General features: G+C 48.2%; 1 protein-coding gene and 1 long non-coding RNA gene across 2 annotated transcripts in view, besides 3 other annotated features; one reads left to right on the top strand and one right to left on the bottom strand.

Moving 5' to 3' along the window:
* LOC105372503 (uncharacterized) lies at positions 7,014-12,710 on the bottom strand. Its single transcript, XR_937203.3, has 3 exons — positions 12,501-12,710; positions 8,385-8,483; positions 7,014-7,687 (listed from the first exon to the last, which is right to left on the bottom strand). It is a non-coding gene; the product is annotated as an uncharacterized LOC105372503 (long non-coding RNA).
* The window catches only part of TGM3 (transglutaminase 3), a 45,079-nt gene continuing 34,494 nt past the window's right edge, over positions 7,194-17,778 (top strand). Inside the window, exon 1 of the mRNA NM_003245.4 lies at positions 7,194-7,263. Within this exon, the coding sequence (NP_003236.3) occupies positions 7,257-7,263 (7 nt within the window). The 5' untranslated portion in view covers positions 7,194-7,256. The remainder of the gene's footprint in view (positions 7,264-17,778) is intronic.
* Positions 7,898-8,431: an enhancer, noted in NCBI's record as "H3K4me1 hESC enhancer chr20:2277351-2277884 (GRCh37/hg19 assembly coordinates)". NCBI's record gives its function as "activates a minimal SCP1, AML or CMV promoter by ChIP-STARR-seq in primed H9 embryonic stem cells {active_cell/tissue: H9 hESC(primed)}" and the evidence as "EXISTENCE:reporter gene assay evidence [ECO:0000049][PMID:30033119]".
* Positions 8,432-8,964: an enhancer, noted in NCBI's record as "NANOG-H3K4me1 hESC enhancer chr20:2277885-2278417 (GRCh37/hg19 assembly coordinates)". NCBI's record gives its function as "activates a minimal SCP1, AML or CMV promoter by ChIP-STARR-seq in primed H9 embryonic stem cells {active_cell/tissue: H9 hESC(primed)}" and the evidence as "EXISTENCE:reporter gene assay evidence [ECO:0000049][PMID:30033119]".
* Positions 12,639-12,818: an enhancer, noted in NCBI's record as "active region_17464". NCBI's record gives its function as "activates an Ori minimal core promoter by ATAC-STARR-seq in GM12878 lymphoblastoid cells {active_cell/tissue: GM12878}" and the evidence as "EXISTENCE:reporter gene assay evidence [ECO:0000049][PMID:35858748]".

Here is a 17,778-nt window from a genome sequence, read left to right on the forward strand (position 1 = left end):
GTACAAATGCTTAACTATGTTAACAACAACATTTGCTGTTATTGATCATGTTGAAAAATATTTCCCTAACCTTGCATACCTGGCCCCATAGGACTTTCTAAGATGTGTTTCTCAAATGAAAGAAAGGAAGTGACTAAAATGACATAGCAGAAAGAACCATACACAGAGAGCTGGAAAGCCTGCATTCTCATTCCAGATGATTTGGACATTAGTGTTTTCATGGGTAAAAGGAGGAAGTTGGACAAAATGACTCCTACACTCTCTTCCGGCTCTGGGATCCGGGTCAGTTATTCTGTGAACTTGGGCAAATTTTTTATTTGTAGACCTGGGTTTCCTCATTAGTCAAATGAAGAGGTTGGGTTGGATGACTTCTCTGGTCCATTTCCTTTCTGAGAATTTACACAATCCCAGTGACCTGCCCATTGTCATTGCTGTTCTCTTTTTTTTTTTTTTTTTTGACACAGAGTCTCGCTCTGTCGCCCAGGCTGGAGTGCAGTGATGCGATCTCGGCTCACTGCAACCTCCATCTCCTGGGTTCAAGCGATTCTCATGCCTCAGCCTCCCGAGTAGCTGAGATTACAGGCATGCGCCACCATGCACGACTAATTTTTGTACTTTAAGTAGAGACGGGGTTTCACCGCATTGGCCAGGCCGGTCTTGAACTCTTGGCCTCAAGTGATCCATGCCCCTCAGCCTCCCAAAGTGCTGGGAATACAGGCGTGAGCCTCCGCACCCGGCCCTCTGATGTGCTTTTATGCAAGCCACAACTTGGCCCTCCAGGTTGTGGCCTCAGAGACCACAGACAATAGGCTGTGGCTTTTCTTCTCTCTGTTTGGTTTTTCGGCTGCGTGGTCACAAATGGCCTCGTGACAACTTGGCAGTTAACCCAATCCTTCCAACCAGAGGCCTTAGGTGTTGAGCCAGGGCTGCACACAGCTATACCTTCCTGGTTCCTGAGGATTGAGTGTCCCCTGCGCGCTTAAAGCTGGAGCCAGACGTATGCAGCTTTTTCCCGCTGTCCCCAGGCACCGAGTACTCCAGATAAACTCATTGGCAGCCTTTCCCCAGGAAGGGCTCCATCCGCTCCTCCCTCACTCTCCCTCCTGCCTGGGATGCCTCTCTCTATGATCTTTTCCTTGAGTATTTCCCTAAAATGCCTCCCCCTCAATAAACAGCCCTTTCTTATCTCCATAATCACCATCAATCTCTCCTCTGAATTCTTATCAGTTTGTCTTTTAAGCTCTCTTTCTTCTTGTCTGTCAAGGACTCGGGGTCTGTTAACGTACACAGTGCCTCATACTAGCAGGCATTCTACGAAACGAGCACTGCCGTGATTTATAAGGGACTTGTAGACGTCTATTCTTCCTTCAGGGTTTTATTTTGTTTTATTTGTTTGGGCCTAAATGGAAAATTTGGGCATAAACACATTAAAGTTGAGGCTTTGATATGAGTCCCCAAGGGGCCCTGCCTCCCTGTTCAGCCCTGAATTATGAATATCATCATCACCAGGATCCGTAACAACAGTCTCCTAAACAAAAAACCCAATTGTGAGCCTCCCAGAGGCACAGGTTTCACTGAATTGAAGGATTCATTAGAGATAGTGAGGCATAGTAGTTAAGACCAGGGCCTCTGCTGTCAGAAAGAACTGGGTTCAGATCCTGTTGTGGCCACTTGTAGGCTGTGTTACAAGTTTATTAGCCTCTCTAAGCCTCTGGTTTCTTATGTAGAAAATGGAATGCTAATACCTATACCCTAGGGCGGCTTCACATTGACCAATGTGGAGCTCTCAGCACAGAGCATGGCTTCAGGAATGGTGGCCCACCACATGGACACGTGTATTCACCTCCCGGAGCACCTTGTACTCTGAGGGTGTTCCTAGGAATGGCACTAATAGAGTTAGGCATCTGACAGGTGGCACAGGCATGTTTGAAAGGCTCGGAGGTAAGAAGTCAATGCATTTTGTCTTTTACAAGGGGCTTTTACCTGTGTCATCTCATGATTCCACACGACACTCTACAGGGTGGGCAGGACAGGTATCATCATGCCCATTTTTCAGAGGAGAAAACTTAGGCTCAGAAAGGTTGAGTGACTGGCCCAGTGAGGTGGTTCATACAGCTAGACTGTGTCCCTGAGACTTAAACCTGGGTTTGCTTGTTTTGCTACAACTCCTCTTTCCACAACAACACACTGGGATGCTCAAGAGGAATGGAGCTTTGCTTTGGGACTTGGTGACAATGAGACCTGCATACATAAGGAATAGGGTGGCTGTCCCAGGCAGGAACACTTTACAAACAGGTGTACAGTGAGGGAGCATCATGTTGGGCTCCAGGAGAAAGAATTAGACATGTATCACTGAGCAGGGGAGTTCATGTAAGAGTAGTAGAAAATGGCTGGGTGTGATGGCTTCTGCCTGTAATCCCAGCACTTTGGGAGGCTGAGGCAGGTGGATCACCTGAGGTCAGGAGTTCGAGACAAGCCTGAGCAACATGGTGAAACCCTGTCTCTACTAAAAATACAAAAATTAGCCGGGCATGGTGGTGGGCACCTGTAATCTCAGCTAATCGGGAGGCTGAGGCAGGAGAATCTCTTGAACCTGGGAGGCGGAGCTTGCAGTGAGCCAAGATCACGCCACTGCACTCCAGCGTGGGCGACAGAGCGAGACACTGTCTCAAAAAAAAAAAAAAGTAATATAAAATAATGGAATTAAGATTGAACATATTCTGAAAGGTCTCAACACCCAAACTAAGGAATTGGGGCTCTATTAGGCCATGAGGAGCCACTGAAGCTCCCTTCCCAGAGGAAGGACATGGCACAATCCACAGGGCAACAGATAGTTGAGGACAACATGGTGGCTTCCAAAACTTGACTCACCAGGAATGGCTGAAGAAACTGAACGTTTGACCTAGAAAAGTGAAAACTTTTGGGAGGGAAAGAGTATTTGCCAGACTTGGGGGAGAACACAATCATTGTTGGACCAAGGAAAAGACAGCTTTGTTTTATGTGGTCTCTGTGAGTGTCTAGGGGAGCAGTGAAGGTCAGTGGGTGAAAGCTCTAGGGAAATAAATGTTCAGTTCAAATAAGGAAGACTTTTCTGGTCCTTTTAGTGCACTTTAACCCAAGTTTTTTTATTCATTTATGTGTTTGTTTTTTGTAAAGATGAGGTCTTACTATGGTGCCCAGGCTAGTCTCGAATTCCTGGCCTCAAATGATGCTCTCACCTCAGCCTCCCAAAGTGTTGGGATGACAGGGGTGAGCCCCTGCACCTGGCCAAACCTGAGTTTTGTGAGAGCCCACCTGCAAAACACTGGGAGGGAACAGTGACTGGTACAGACAAAATCCCTGCCCTCCTGGAGCTCATATGAAATGGGGGGAAGATAGGCCTTAAACAGAACCATCCTAGAAATTAATGTTATAGCCAGAGCTTCTCAAGTACAAGTATTGGCTGCTTTGAGAAGTGTAAAATCCATCCAGGCACAGTGGCTTACATCTGTAATCCCAGCACTTTGGGAGGCCAAGGCGGGTGGATCACCTGAGGTCAGGAGTTTGAGACCAGCCTGGCCAACATGGTGAAACCCCATCTCTACTAAAAATACAAAAATTAGCCAGGCGTGGTGGCAGGTGCATATAATCTCAGCTAGATGGGAGGCTGAGGCAGAAGAATCGCTTGAACCCAGGAGGCGAAGGTTGCAGTGAGCTGAGACTGTGCCATTGCACTCCAGCCTGGTCAAGAAGAGTGAAACTCCCATCTCAAAAAAAAAAAAAAATCCCCCATCTTAGGAGTTGTCAAGAGACATGTGTCGTGCTGGAAAGGGCTGGATGATTTCTCAGAAGATTCTCTGTCTCTACACATGTTGTGAAATCTTCAGCAACCCTAAATCCCTTAATTAGAGGGAGAGAAAAGGCAAGTGATCAATTGGCTTCTTTTAAAAGCCCATATCTGCATGCTTCGTCTTCACTGCGGTCTGAGGCGCAGAGTGTGGCCAAGCAGGAATTTCATCCTGTGTGTAGCTGGGTGGCTCCACCTATGAATTGAAAATCATTTAGCTGAAATTGTGACACAGCTGCAAATTACAGTCTGCCTGCAGGCTGGGGCTGTGGCTGCGGCCATGGTGCAATCCTCCAGTACCCAACATTAAGTAACTCAGGGCAGACTCTTACTGGGGCCCTACTGCTGGTCAGTTGCAAAGACTACAGGCAGCTTGGCTGGAGGAGCTGTGGAGGGTAGAAGGGAAGCTGGCTGTGTAACACTAGCCTGTCTACAGAGGAGCATCATACCCGCAATGTCACCATGGCTTTCAGCCTCATGACAGCCCTGGAAGGTGTGTGCATCATGCTGATGAGGATACCGAGGGCCAAAGAAGTAAAAGAATTCAGCCAACATCACACAGTGGACAAGTTCCAAAGCCTGGCTTTGAATCCAGGTCTTTTGACTCCAACTCAGGGGTCTTTTTACTACATTACTCTGGGATCAAGACCAGCTACAGACCCTCCTAGAGAAGACCAGGTGGTCAGTGGTCGGACACCACTGTCCAAACCCGTGGGACCCCTTGCAAAACCTGTGGCACTCGGGGCCTTTCAGGCTAATAATATGATTTTTTTTTTTTTTTTGAGACAAGGTCTCACTCTGCCACCCAGGCTGGAGTGCAGTGGTGCGATTTCGGCTCACTGCAACCTCCACCTCCCGGATTCAAGTGATTCTCGTGCCTCAGACTCCCGAGTAGCTAGGATTATAGGCACGCACCATCATGCCTGGCTAATTTTTGTATTTTTAGTACAGACAGGGTTTTACCATGTTCCCCAGGCTGGTCTCAAACTCCTGACCTCAAGGTCCCACCTCGGCCTCCCAAAGTGCTGGGATTACAGAAGCGAGCCACCGCACCCGGCCAGGCTAATAATATAATATTATTAATACTAACTTTTTACACTGGGCTGTGCCCAGCGCCGTGCTGAACCTTTTACACTTGCTGTCTCCTTTGATTCTCAGAGCAATTCCACTCAGTTTTACAGTTGAGGAAACAAAGCCTACGAGAGGTGAGGAGACTTGGCAGAGCCAAGACTGTGTGTCTTCAGGTTCCCTTTTAAGGGGAGCACCACCTCCCTGTCACCTCTGCAGCTTTCCTTGTCAGGTCATTGAAAGGAGTGCCCGGGGTCTGATTTTCCTTGGCTCCCAGGCCAACAGCAACAACCACAATAATAAGCAAAACCCCTCCTTTCCTTTAGACCACACACAGAAGCATACAGAGCACTTTCACACCCATTCATCCCATGCCATTCATGGAGCTGTCCTCCAGCTTTCTGGCAGGATGAACTTGGCGTCATGAGGCCTCGCCCAGAGTCACAGCTAGTGCCCGTGGTAGGAGCCAAGACCACACATGAGTCTCCTCTTGGGTCCAGGCTCTTTCCATGTCCCTCTCTACCCTCTGCTCTTTTCTTAGTCATCTGCCAGAGCCAACAGTGCATCCCATTCTGCCTGGCATGGGTGCACAGCCAGCTGTCTTAGAGCCCCAGAGGCCTGGGAAAGGCTGCCTCATTTAGGCGCTGACCTCCAAGGTTAAGCAAACACAGGCTCTGGAGCCATTTACATATGGGTATGAATCTCGTGGTTGGAGACTCAGGTTAATCTCTCTGTCCCCCATAAGATGGAAATAATAATAGCCCCTTTGCATAGGGTTGCTATGAAGATGAGAAAAGCTAATATATGTAAAGTGTTTAGCCAGTGCCTGCCCACAGTAAACACTAAATCAATTAGTTATTATTAGTAAGCACTAAATCGGTAGTTATGATTCCCATCTTTACAGTGATATTGATTCACTTATTCAAGAATGTGCATGTTCCAGCCACGTGTCAAGCCCTGTGCTAGATTCTGAGAAGAAGATTTGAATGATATGCAACCTGTACCTTCAAGGAGCTCAGTCTGGAGATGGGGACATATATAAACAGATAGTTCCAGTGCAGTGGATACATACGGTAATAGAGGTTCTAAGATGTACAAAAGGCTGTAGGGGCCTAAAGGACGGAGAAAGGACACTGATTTCTCTTTTTCAATTTTCCAAGCCACCTGCCTATTCCGTCTTCTCTTTCTCGAGATCAAACATTCTCACTTCTCTCTAAAGACCCAACCTTGTCATCATGGTGCTCAATCTTCCTTCCACACTGTGATGCTGGGGAAAGCCTTGGGGCATTTCTGTTCTCTCGTGAATCCTTGAAGCCTCACTTTAAAAAATATATACTCACTCCTTTGTCCATCGTAAACCTTGATATTTGTAAATATCGATAATAGGAACTTTGAAAAAACATACGCCCTTAGAAACAAGCAAGCAAACAAAAACACGTAGAATGTCAGAGCTTCTCCCCACTCCACACCCTTTCTTTAAACTGATGTCAAGGTGGGCCCAGTGAGGGTCAGTGACGGAACCTGCAGTCTGAGAAAGACATGGCAGAAGCATAAGGTTAGAGGCTGTTCCTGCTGCCTCATTAAAAACAACAATTTTCCCCCAAATCTGGACTGAAACTGACATTCAACGCCAAGTGTGATCTCAGTTTAACCTGCCCTGGTAGATATGCATACACTTCCCATGCGCACCATCTCATGTGATCGTGTCCACAGCTTTGTGAGTTGAGAGGGGTGGGAGTGATTATCCCCAACCACAAGCAAGGCTTCCGGGCTTCAAGGGTTGGAGACCACCCAGGGCTCGGCCAGCATCAGAACCAACGGCTTCTAATTCCAAATCAAATGATGGTTTATGCCACACTACAACCCTAAACAAATGAACTGTGATGTGTCTCACTTCCCTGTGCAAGTGGAAGATGCTAATACATGTGTATCATGAGAAAGGACCTCACAATTTTCTTCTTCTGGGTTCTGCTGAGACGTTTCTTTGATTCAGAGAGAACTTCCCAGGATCAGCAAGAAAAGCATGTCATCATTTCCTAAACCCTACAATCCAGGAAATAGTCCATCATTTTATAAAATTATAAAAGCGAACTATTTGAGTTTCTTTATTATCTGCCCCCTTCTCCCCAAGCTGGTCTTGTACAAACATGATGCACGTCCATTGGGTGACAAGTCTGTCGTAAGTGAAACGTTTACAGGCACTACAGGAATGACCTGGTGCCTCGCCCACTTCATTAGAATTCTAATTGGGGTGTGTAGGAGAGGATTCTATAAATGGTAAGGCAATCCTTGGCAGCCTGTCTGTCAGCACTGTCCGTGCCATTCCCAGAGGAGCCTGAGAAGAGGCAGAGGAAGGCGAAACATGGCTGGTGAGTGCATGGCATCTTCTCCATCAGGTCCTTGCCAGAAGCCTGTGCTTCCCCTGGGCCAGCCTGCCAAGCCAGAGTGTCCGGCCAGGACAGCTGCCTGCCTTGGGGGCTCTGAAGGCCAGACTTCCTATTTTAGGGTGCTAGCCAGAGGCGGCTCTTTCTCAGTGGTGGTTGGGTCCCTCTAGCATATTCTTGGGGTAGAACATCATTGGAATGTAGCTCTGAATAATGGGCAGGGTGTTCAGTGCAGCTGGACATCGCATCTCCTTAGGCAGAGGACAAGCTTTGCCTTGTTTGTGTTTGCGTTTCTTTTACACATCCGTCGCCACCCGTAAAGCCAAAGCAGACAGGACTCGGGTCTCGTGTTTCTCAGTGTAGCTGTATCCAGCTGTCAGCAGTGTCAGCAAAGAAGCACATCTCAGAACTACCAGGGAGTGAGAGTGGTAACATGTAAGTTGATTTGAAAGAAACCATTGTTTATTTCAAATCAACTTACTTAGGAGCATTAGGAATGCTCCTAAGTAAGCTACACATCAGAAGCATCAGACAGGCTCTGTGTAAGTGACTTGATGAGCTGAAGCCTCCCCGTAGCAGGAGCAGGTGTGCCACAAGATGTCCTGGTCCACAGGAGAGCACCAGGGAACAGGGGTTACAAAGAACAACAGGAAGTGCAGGTTCCCCCACTCTATGCTTACTGTCGAGGATATGGGCCTTTGTTAATCAGCACCCCTGCTAAGCAGCATGCTAATTATTATCTGTCTTGTGTGCTCAGCCTAGTAGGTTGACAGGGACGCCAAATCCAAACAAGATATGAGTCAAACTTGTAAAATATTGTGAATGGCGATTAGGGCTGCTGGAAGATTGGCCAAAGACATCACTGAGCCAAATGCAACAGGCAAATGCTGGCTACTTCAGAAGCCACAAAAACTGGGACAGGTGATTGCACATTAGGCCCCCTCCCCTGTCTCCCATTCCTTGCTGTAATGTACAGCATGGCTGGGATGCTAAGAAGAGGAGCTCTGGACCCTACACACTGCAGCAAGAGGGGAGGTCAGATGTCATCTAGCCCATCTCCCTCCCTCCAGGAGGTGGCTGAGGCCCAGGAAGGGGTGGAACCTTACACACAGTGAATCCATCGCAGAGCCAGCTAGGTCTCAGCAGTGCCCTTTCCACCATGTCCTGCTGCCAGAGCTGAGCTCCTACATAAGTGCACATAACATCTGGAACATAAAAAAGCAATTCTGAACCTGGCTTCTCATTTGAGCTTTGTGACCAACTGCTTGTGTGTTCTCTGCCACCCCTGAGCCTCAAGTTTTCAAGATGAAAGCTTTGAAATGAATGCGTTTTGAGGTTCCTTCCAGTACCGACTTTTCTTTCTCCACAAAAAGAAACCAGAGCCAGGGAGTGGACAGGCACGTGCCCAGCCCCCAGGAATGTGCACCTCCCATCCCTGTGCAGGACCTCCCGTGGACTCTCAGGAATGGCCTGCCCGCTGTGAGGCATGATTAAATGTCTCTGTTAACAACCAGAGATGTTCTAAAGTCACAACAGAATGAGGCTGGTGGGGAGAAAATCAATTTTGAAAAGGTGGTGGAGAGACAGGCGAATACATTCAGTCCCTTAAATTTGTCCCACTTGCAGTTCCCAGCTCAGCTCCGAGTCACTCAGCCAGGAAGTTCCCAATCAGTGTTTCTTGGATGAATGAATTTATTCACTGAACACCTAAGGGAGAAGAGCTGTGCCAGGTGCAGTGGGAAATATGGAGGTGAATGAGATGTGGTTCTGTCCTCGGTAGCTTTTAGTCTGATATTTTTTGGTACCACCGGTTTTTTAGGTGAGCAGCATGCAAGGCAGACTGTTATTAAGCTGCATGACAAATACAAAACAAGTGCTACGGGGACCAACAAGAGAAGGAGATTAGTCTTGTCTGGAATTTGGGATAGGGAAGACTCTGAAAAATGGTCACAGACAATGAGTTGGACTTGGTCTGGAGAGGTTTTGCAGGGCAGAGGGAACAGGAAAATAAATGTCAGTGTGAGCAGGTGTGACCCAGGGGACTATCGGGATGACAGGTGTGCTGCTTTGAGAGGACTCTGTGTCCAGCTCCTAATTTAAGGTTCTTGTTGCAATCAGAAGGGGTTCCATTATTCCACCCCTTGGTGGAGAAGGCAGCCTGGGCTGTGGCTGGAAATGAAGGTAGTGGAGGAAGGCCTGGCAGTGATCCGCACCAAGTGGCCTGGCATCCCCAGAGTGGGTGGGAGAGCAGTTTGTGAGCACAGAGGAGGGCCCCAGTGTGGAGGGGAGGCAAGATTCCCCATCCCCAAAGCCACTTGGAAGCCCTGGGTTAGTGGCAGAGTTCTCAGGGTACACACCTGAACCACAGGCTTCTGCCTGCAAATGACCAGAACCTCTGTTTTGGGGACTAATGGCTCTGTCCCTCTGGGGCAGTGAGCTTTCTTGCCAACTACTTTTCCAGGCAGAGCACTGGCCTTGGCTTCAGGGACTTCCCATCTCAAGGCCTCATTTCCTCCACCCCCAAAGGACCTGTACCATTCCCAGCGTCTGGGTCTACCACCAAACCGTTCTCCTTGGAGCTGGGACACCAGTCGCCCCTCCTCCCATGGAAGCGGTCAGGAATTGCTCTTGGGTTCTGGCCTCCTTCTCTTCTGTAAATCTTCTAGGTGCTTCCTGGACCCTCCTCATATTTTTGTGTCTGGCACTGGGACCAAGGCAATATCTACTCTCTCTCTCTCTGAAAAGGAGATGGCCCCTCTGGGCTCAGAGTCTTGTGACTCCAGCTGCTCATTGTTTGAAATGAGGACCAGCTGCCTCCTGTCTGCCCGGCTCCATGGCCTTCTTCCACCTGGGACAGCGGCTACTCCCTGTTCCTTAGAGACAGCCCATGAGCAGCTTCATTCCACCGGGAATGACAGCTGCCCGTATTTCAGCGTTTGTTCCTGTAGGATTCCTTACAGGATAGCTGATGGGTTAAGAGTGCAGGTTCAGAGGTGCTCTCTGGATCAAGGCTCCACTCTGCCCCTTACGAGAAGAGTGGTCTTGGGCAGGTCACTTAACTTGTGTGTCTCAGTTTCCTCATCTCCAAAATGGGGTTATTGCAGTATCCACCTCATGGGTGCTTACGATTACCTGGAAATTTTTTCATGAGCCTGTTTTCTCCTTGTCTTGGGGGGACTTAAGAAAAACCCTATGAGAGGAATTACATTTTCTAATCAGGGGCGATTCCCAGGGGACCCTCTCCATTAAGCGCCTCAGCACAAGTCCTCCCCACTCCCGCTTCATCCATTCCCAAGTCCAAAGTCCTCATGCCTGAGCACTCCCCTTGTTCACCTCAAGTAACTTCATGCGGCTCCACCCCGCAGGGCTGTCTCTGCAGATGGAGCAATCATTCTCCTCCCCAGGGCCCACGTGCCAGGCTGGGGTGTGTGCTGAAGTTAGGAAATCTCGCTTAGCAGTGGAGGGCACAAGGCCCTAGGATCTTGGTAGGAGCTGAGAGATGGGAGTCAGAAGGAGTCAGCCTTCCCCTCCCTCAGCCTGATTTTCCTTATTTGTAAAAAGAGGACAGCGACTCCTCCCCTGCCTCCTTCCTATAGCTGCCGGGTGGCTCTGGTCAGGTAATTTATGTGAAGGAGCTTTTATAAGTGTAGATGATAAACGGGCCTAAGGTAGTGAGGTCTCAGTCCCTGCTGCACATTAGAATCACCAGGAAAGCTTTAAAGAAAATGCTGGCCGGGTGCAATGGCTCACGCCTGTAATCCCAGCACATTGGGAGGTCAAGGCGGGTAGATTATCTGAGGTCAGGAGTTCGAGACCAGCCTGGCCAATACGACAAAATCTCATCTACTAAAAATACAAAAATTAGTGGGACATGCTGGCACGCACTTGTAGTCCCAGCTACTTGGGAGGCTGAGGTTACAGTGAGGCAAGAGAACTGCTTGAACCCAGGAGGCAGGGGTTGCAGTGAGCTGAGATCACACCACTACACTCCAGCTTGGGCAACAGAGAGAGACTCCATTTAAAAAAAAAATAAAGAAAGAAAGGAAGAAAGAAAGGAATGGAGGGAGGGAGGGAAGGAAGGAAGGAAAAGAAAGAGAAAGAGAAAGAAATAGAAAGAGAAAGAAAGAAAGAGAAGAAAGAAAGAAAGAAAAAAAGAAAGAAAGAAAGAAAAGAGAGGAGAAGAGAAGAGAAGAAAAGAAAGAAAATGCCAGTGTCATCCCTAACCAAAGATTCTAATTGAATTTGCCTGGGATGGGTCTCAGACCAATAGAACATTCCAGGTGATTCTTCTGGGCAGCTGGGGTTGAGAGCCTCTGGTCTCAGAGATTCTAAACTCTCTCTTAGGAAGAGAAGTCCTTCTGTCCTCTCCTTTTGCCCTGACCATAGGGTGTCTAGGCAGGGAGTAGGCTGTGGATGGCCCCTCCAGGACCTGTGTCTAAGTCATTGCTGCCTTGGTTGGCTACAGGGCGGCAGCTTGGGGTCATATCTGGTCAGGCAAAATTGACTTTCAGTCTGGGCTTGAGTCCAGCCTCTGCCTGAGTGTTTGATATTGAGTAAGTGACTTCACCTGACTGGACTTCCAAAGCCCTCATCTGTGAAATGGGGACAGCAACACCATTTTGATAGTCAGTATTTCGTGACTATTAAAAAACATAACGCAGGTGAAATGCTTAGCTCAGTGTCTGACACATAAGAGGTCCTCAATAGCAGCCCATTAAAAGCTCAAAGCCTCTTCTGCTCTTGGGTTGTTTTTGCCATTACATATGGGATCCCAACAGTATTAGTTTCCCCCAATCTCTGGGGGCCCCGGTGCTAGTGATGGGTATATGTTGAATCCCAACAATAACCCTAAGAGAGAAGATGTTCCAGGTCTCACTGTCCCTCTTCTACAGGTGAGAAAAGTACAATTCAGAGACATTGAGACCCTTGCTCAGGGCCTCTCACCGGTTCAGGCACCAATCTGGGGCTCATTTCTCTTCATCCTCACCAGCCCCTTACTCTCCCTGAATGCCAAGAAATTGTGCCACCTGTGCTGCACAGAGCTTGAAAATGTCATGATATGTGGGGGAAGTTAAAAGGAAATGACACAGGCTAGAAAGAGAGAAAGGAGAGAGAGATGGGTGCTGAGCAGGAAAGCACGTGTGTCCTTGGAGCCAGAGGAGGGGCCAGCCAGGAGCTAAAGATGTTCCCAGTGTCTAGGGGTGGGAAGTGGGATGACTCACAGCCTGTCGGTGACCAGGATCTGAGACCCGGCTTCTGGGCTAAGATCTGCTTCAACTCCGTGACTTCCCCTTTCATGAAGGGGAGATGGCTTCCCATTTCAGGGCCTCAGCTTTCTGACCTGTCATGTGGGCATACTAGATTACATCACTGTTTTTCAAGCTGCCAGTTGCCATCCATTAGCAGGTTGTGAAATCAGTTTAGTGGACTGTGACCAGCCATTAAGAAAAAAAAAAAAAGCAGAAGAGAAAATATCAGAGTATATTGATACATAGTAAGCATTAGCCGTGTGAAACCTTGTGTCAGTTCCAGATCCATGTATGTAAAGACTATTAGATAGATTTCTTGATTTGGCTTCTCTCAATAGAGCTTAAAAACCACTCAGCTAGATACTTTTTAGCATTTTTTTTTTTGAGACGGAGTCTCCCTCTGTCGCCCAGGCAGGAGTGCAGTGGTGAGATCTCAGCCCACTGCAACCTCCACCTCCCCAGTTCAAGCCATTCTCCTGCCTCAGCCTACCAAGTAGCTGGAACTACAGGCATGTGTCACCACGTCCGGCTAATTTTTGTATTTTTAGTAGAGACAGGGTTTTGCCATGTTGGCCAGGCTGGTCTTGAACTCCTGACCTCAGGTGATCTTCCTGCCTCGGCCTCCCAAAGTGTTGGGATTACAGGTGTGAGCCACCGTGCCCAGCCACTTTTTAGCATTTCTGTCAGCCCTCATTAACTCTAGACTTCTGTAAAATAAAAATGCATCTATGTCTAGAGAAAAGGTGTGGGAAGTAGAGTCTGGTTGGGGGCTAGGGATAGTCCCAGCCACTAGAGTAGCATCACTCCATGTTGGGCCCCCTGTCAGCCCCTCTGTGGTGTGGTCCTCCCTGGAACAGGAGATGGGAGCCCCATCACACACCCAGCGACCAAGTCATTCTCACCCGTGTGCTGCAGGTGATTCAATTATACAGCCAGGCTGACAAGGATTGAGACGGCTGACTAGCAACTTCCCTTTCACAGTCTGGAGTCTTTCTCTGTGCTTTTCATGTGAAAGAGGGACCACAGAATAAATGGGCAGGGGTTATATTAACATATTTGTGATTATGTTTGGCTGTGATTAACAGTGAACCCCCCCAAAAAACAATAGCTTAGAAAAATAAGACAGAAGCTTATTTCTTCCTTACACGAAAGGCCTGGAACCAGGCAGTTCTGGGCAGGCCAGGTGGTGGCACCATCCTCAGGCCCTAGCTCTGTCCAGTCTCCTCTCCACCATCGCTAGGGTACGTATGGCCCTGCATGGTCTAAGATGTCCGCTAGAGGCTTGTCCCTGTCACACCCACACTCCAGACAGCAGAATGGAAGAAGAGGAAGAAAACAGGCAAAGGGCATTTGCCAACTGTTTATATAAAGAGGTTTTCTAAAAAAAAAAAAAAATTTAAAACAGGTATTCAAACAAATATTACCATGTGCACATTCATAGCAGCACTACTCACAGTAGCTAAAATGTAGGGACAACCCAGATGTCCATCAGCTGATGAATGCATCGACAAAACATGGAATATTCATATAATAGACTCTCATTCAGCCATAAGAAAAGAATGAGCTACTGATGCATCCTCCAACATGACCGAACCTTGAAAACATTATGCTAAGTAAAATAAGTCAGACCCAAATCACATATTGTGTGGTTCCATTTGTTAATTTATGAAATGCCCAGAATAGGGCCGAGCGAGGTGGCTCACGACTGTAATCCCAGCACTTTGGAGGCTGAGGTGGGCGGATCATTTGAGGTCGGGAGTTCGACAACAGGATGGCCAACATGGCGAAACCCTGTCTCTATTAAAAATACAAAAAAATTAGCCGGGCGTGGTGGTGCATGCCTGTAATCCCAGCTACTCAGGAGGCTGAGGCAGGAGAATCACTTGAACCCGGAAGGCGGAGGTTGCAGTGAGCCAAGATCGTACCTCTGCACTCCAGCCTGGGCGACAGAGGGAGACTCCATCTCAAAAAAAAAGAAAAGAAAAAAAAGAAAAAGAAATGCCCAGAATAGGCAAATCCACAGAGACAGAAAGAGTTGGGGTTGGCAGGGGCTGGGGATAGGCGGAAATGGGGAGTTCCTGCTAATGGAGTTGGGGGATTCTTTGAGGAGTGATGAAAAAGCTCTGCCACTAGATAGTGGAGATAATTGCATATTGTGAGTGTACTAAATGCCCCTGAATTGTACATTTTAAAATGGTTTAAATGGCAATTTTTATGTTGTGAATTTTACCTCGATTTTTTAAAAGAGAGAGTTCCTGGAAGTTAATACCTGTAACTTCTGCCAAAAGCTTTTGGCCTAAATTTACCCCATGGCCACCGAGCCAGAGTGGAGCCTGGGAAAGTAGTGCCTGCACATATGGGGGATTTCATTACCAGGAAAGAAGGAACGAGTGAACGTTGGGATAGATATTTATCTGGCAGTCCACCACATTAGAATTGCTGCTGGCACTGATGTTCTCAGGAAAAAAAATCTGGGAAATTGCCCCAGGCCTGACACTGGAGTTAAGCATTAACTCAGGGAGGTGGCACGGAATCAGAGTTTGGAGATGTCACACTGTGGGCAAACCACCTCTCTGGCCTCCATGTGCTCACATCTGGAATAAAGGTTAGGAGTATGTGATTGTTCTCTAAGGTTTTTCCCGCTGATGTCTTTTAAGTGTGTACGTTGATGAGTCAGTTATAAGAATCATGCGACTCCTGTCTCTTCTTCTCCTCCCTTCACCCAGACTGTGCAGAAGACATAAGGTGCAGAAGACAGCCCTGAGGCTCGTAAATATACAAAAAGCTGTAAACCTGAGAACCTTAGACAGCTGAGTACCTTCCCCTCCTCTCCTTTCCTACACATTCTGACAGGGTGGGCTGTGATGAGTGACATGTCAAGGGCTTTGGGATTGGGGAGACAGGATCATTGGATCCTTGAATTGGGGGCTGGCAGAGCAATCCTAGGGTTAAGGGACAGGACGATGACTGAGGGAGGCAGCCAGTGAAGGGTTCAGAACCACACTGGAAGCTTGATGAGCACGCTCTCAGCTGGCAGCCCCTACTCAGGGATGCGGGGCAGGCTGTCCCCTTTGTCCAGCTCCCCTGAAGACGGCTCTTTTGGAAGAGATGTTTTCCTTCCAGGAGCTCGCTCTCTCCCCTCTGTCGGAATCCAAATGCTAGCAGGTGGACGATGCAGCATGAGGGCCCCTCACCACTTAGGGCACCTTCTGGACTCAAAATCCTGCATGAGACCCTCTTCCAGAAGGAGGTTTCGGGACCACAGTGACAGGGTAGAGTCAGTAAGTCCTGGTGAAAAGGAAACACCATTTTTTCTTCCAGACTACTCTTAATACTTCTTAACCGCCAAATGTGTGGGGTTTGTTCTCATACCAAGCGATTTGCAGTGGACACCCACCGGGTGTCCTACCCTTCAACTCAATTCTCACACTGTTTGGAGTTAGCACACAGCCTACAGGGAGTGCACACACCCCTCAGTCCCACAACACTGCCCCCACTTCAGATGCCAGTGCTTCAGAAGTTGTCACCTGTGCTTCTGACTGACCAGATTTAAATCGGGAGTTCCCACCAGCCCATTCTCAGGTTTGAAGATTTGCTAGAACAGCTCACAGGACTCAGGAAAACAGACGACCAGCTTATGGTAAAAGGATACAACTCAGAAGCAGCCAGATGGAAAAGATGCCTGAGACAAGGTGTGGGGAGGGGCACAGAGCCCCCATGCCCCCCTCCCAGCACTTCCATGAGTTCAGCCTGGAAGCTCCTCAGGCCCCATCCTTTGGGGTTTGGGTTTTTATGAAGACTTCATTTATAGGCATGATTCATTAAGTCATCAGTCATTGGTGATGAAATCAACCTCCAGTCCCTCTCCCCTCTGTGGACGTGGGTAGTGGGCATAAGGCTGAAAGTCCCAAGTCTCTAGTCACTGGTTGGTTCCCCTGGCAACCAGCTCCCATCCTGAGGCTATCCAGGAGCTGCCAGTACCAGTCATCTCATTAGCATACAAGAAGTCACTCATCATTTTGGAGGTTCCAAGGCTTTCAGGAACTTTGTGCCAAGAAAAAGCAGAGATCAAATACGTGTTTCTCATTATGCCACACCTGGGTTCAGGATCCTGGCTCTGCCAATTTCCAGGTATGTGACCTCAGTTAAACTACCTGGTCTCTCTGAGCCTTTGTTCCTCATTGTAAGATTTCACTGACCACATACATAACATGTTCTGTGGACTGCGCATAGCAGTTGGCATAAAGAAGGCTGATGACAAAAGTGAGCCCCACTTTTCCTCCTCCTCCAGCTCGGAGCAGTCTCGCACATCCCACAGCCACCCTAACAGGGAGCAAGGCTCGTTGGTGCTGCCGGGGCTCACGCTTGGTGTCAGAAAAGGCAGAGATGATGAGTGCAAATGCGAGCTCTGGAGCCTGCAGTCCTCCACTGTGGAGTGGGGTGACAACGACCAAGGCACCTGGTTTCTCTACACCTTGGCTTCCTTGTCTGTAAAACAGGACGTCTACAAGTGCCTGCCTTATGGAGTTAATGAGCTAATGCACGTAAACACTTTGAAAGATGGCTGGCACACAAATGCCCAGTAAACTTCAACTAATAGTATGATCACCACCACCACAGTCACCCCAGGTCTGACCTAGTGTGGCGTGCAAAATACCCCTCATATTCTTCCTGCAGGTTTCCCTGTTGGGAGGCACCCTGGAGCTCAGTTTTTTCTTTTTCATCCTCTCTAGGGACAAGACATTGGTCTCTGGGATGAATGGGAGGAGCCTCTACTATTGACACAGCCACAGCAAACAATGCATGAACTTTGCTGGAGCAAAGAAGGGTGTGGGCCTGTTGGGAGAGGCAGGTGCCAGCAAGAGATGCTGAGTACCCCGCCCCTCTTTCCTTACCACTGTGCTGGACAAACAGCCATCTGGAGCAGACTTTCTACTTTCAAAGAACTCATGGTCTAGAATGAGCTTTATCTGGAAAAGGACATGCATCCTTTGGGATTTGGAGGTGGGGTGAAAAATCTCTAAGAAGGCTCAAGTGCTCTGAAACCACATGTTCCATAGAGTTCCTGTTTCCTAAAAATATATATTTCCAGAGGTTCTTATTTGAGAGGTCTTCTTTTTTCTTTTTCTTTTCCTTTCTTTTTTTTTTTTTTTTCATTTTGAGATGGAATCTCGCTCTGTTACCCAGGCTGGAGTGCAGTGGCATGATCTCAACTCACTACAAGCTCTGCTTCTCAGGTTCAAGTGATTCT

The sequence above is a fragment of the Homo sapiens genome, chromosome 20 (genome assembly GCF_000001405.40).
Source record: "Homo sapiens chromosome 20, GRCh38.p14 Primary Assembly".
NCBI classification, from domain to species: domain Eukaryota; kingdom Metazoa; phylum Chordata; class Mammalia; order Primates; family Hominidae; genus Homo; species Homo sapiens.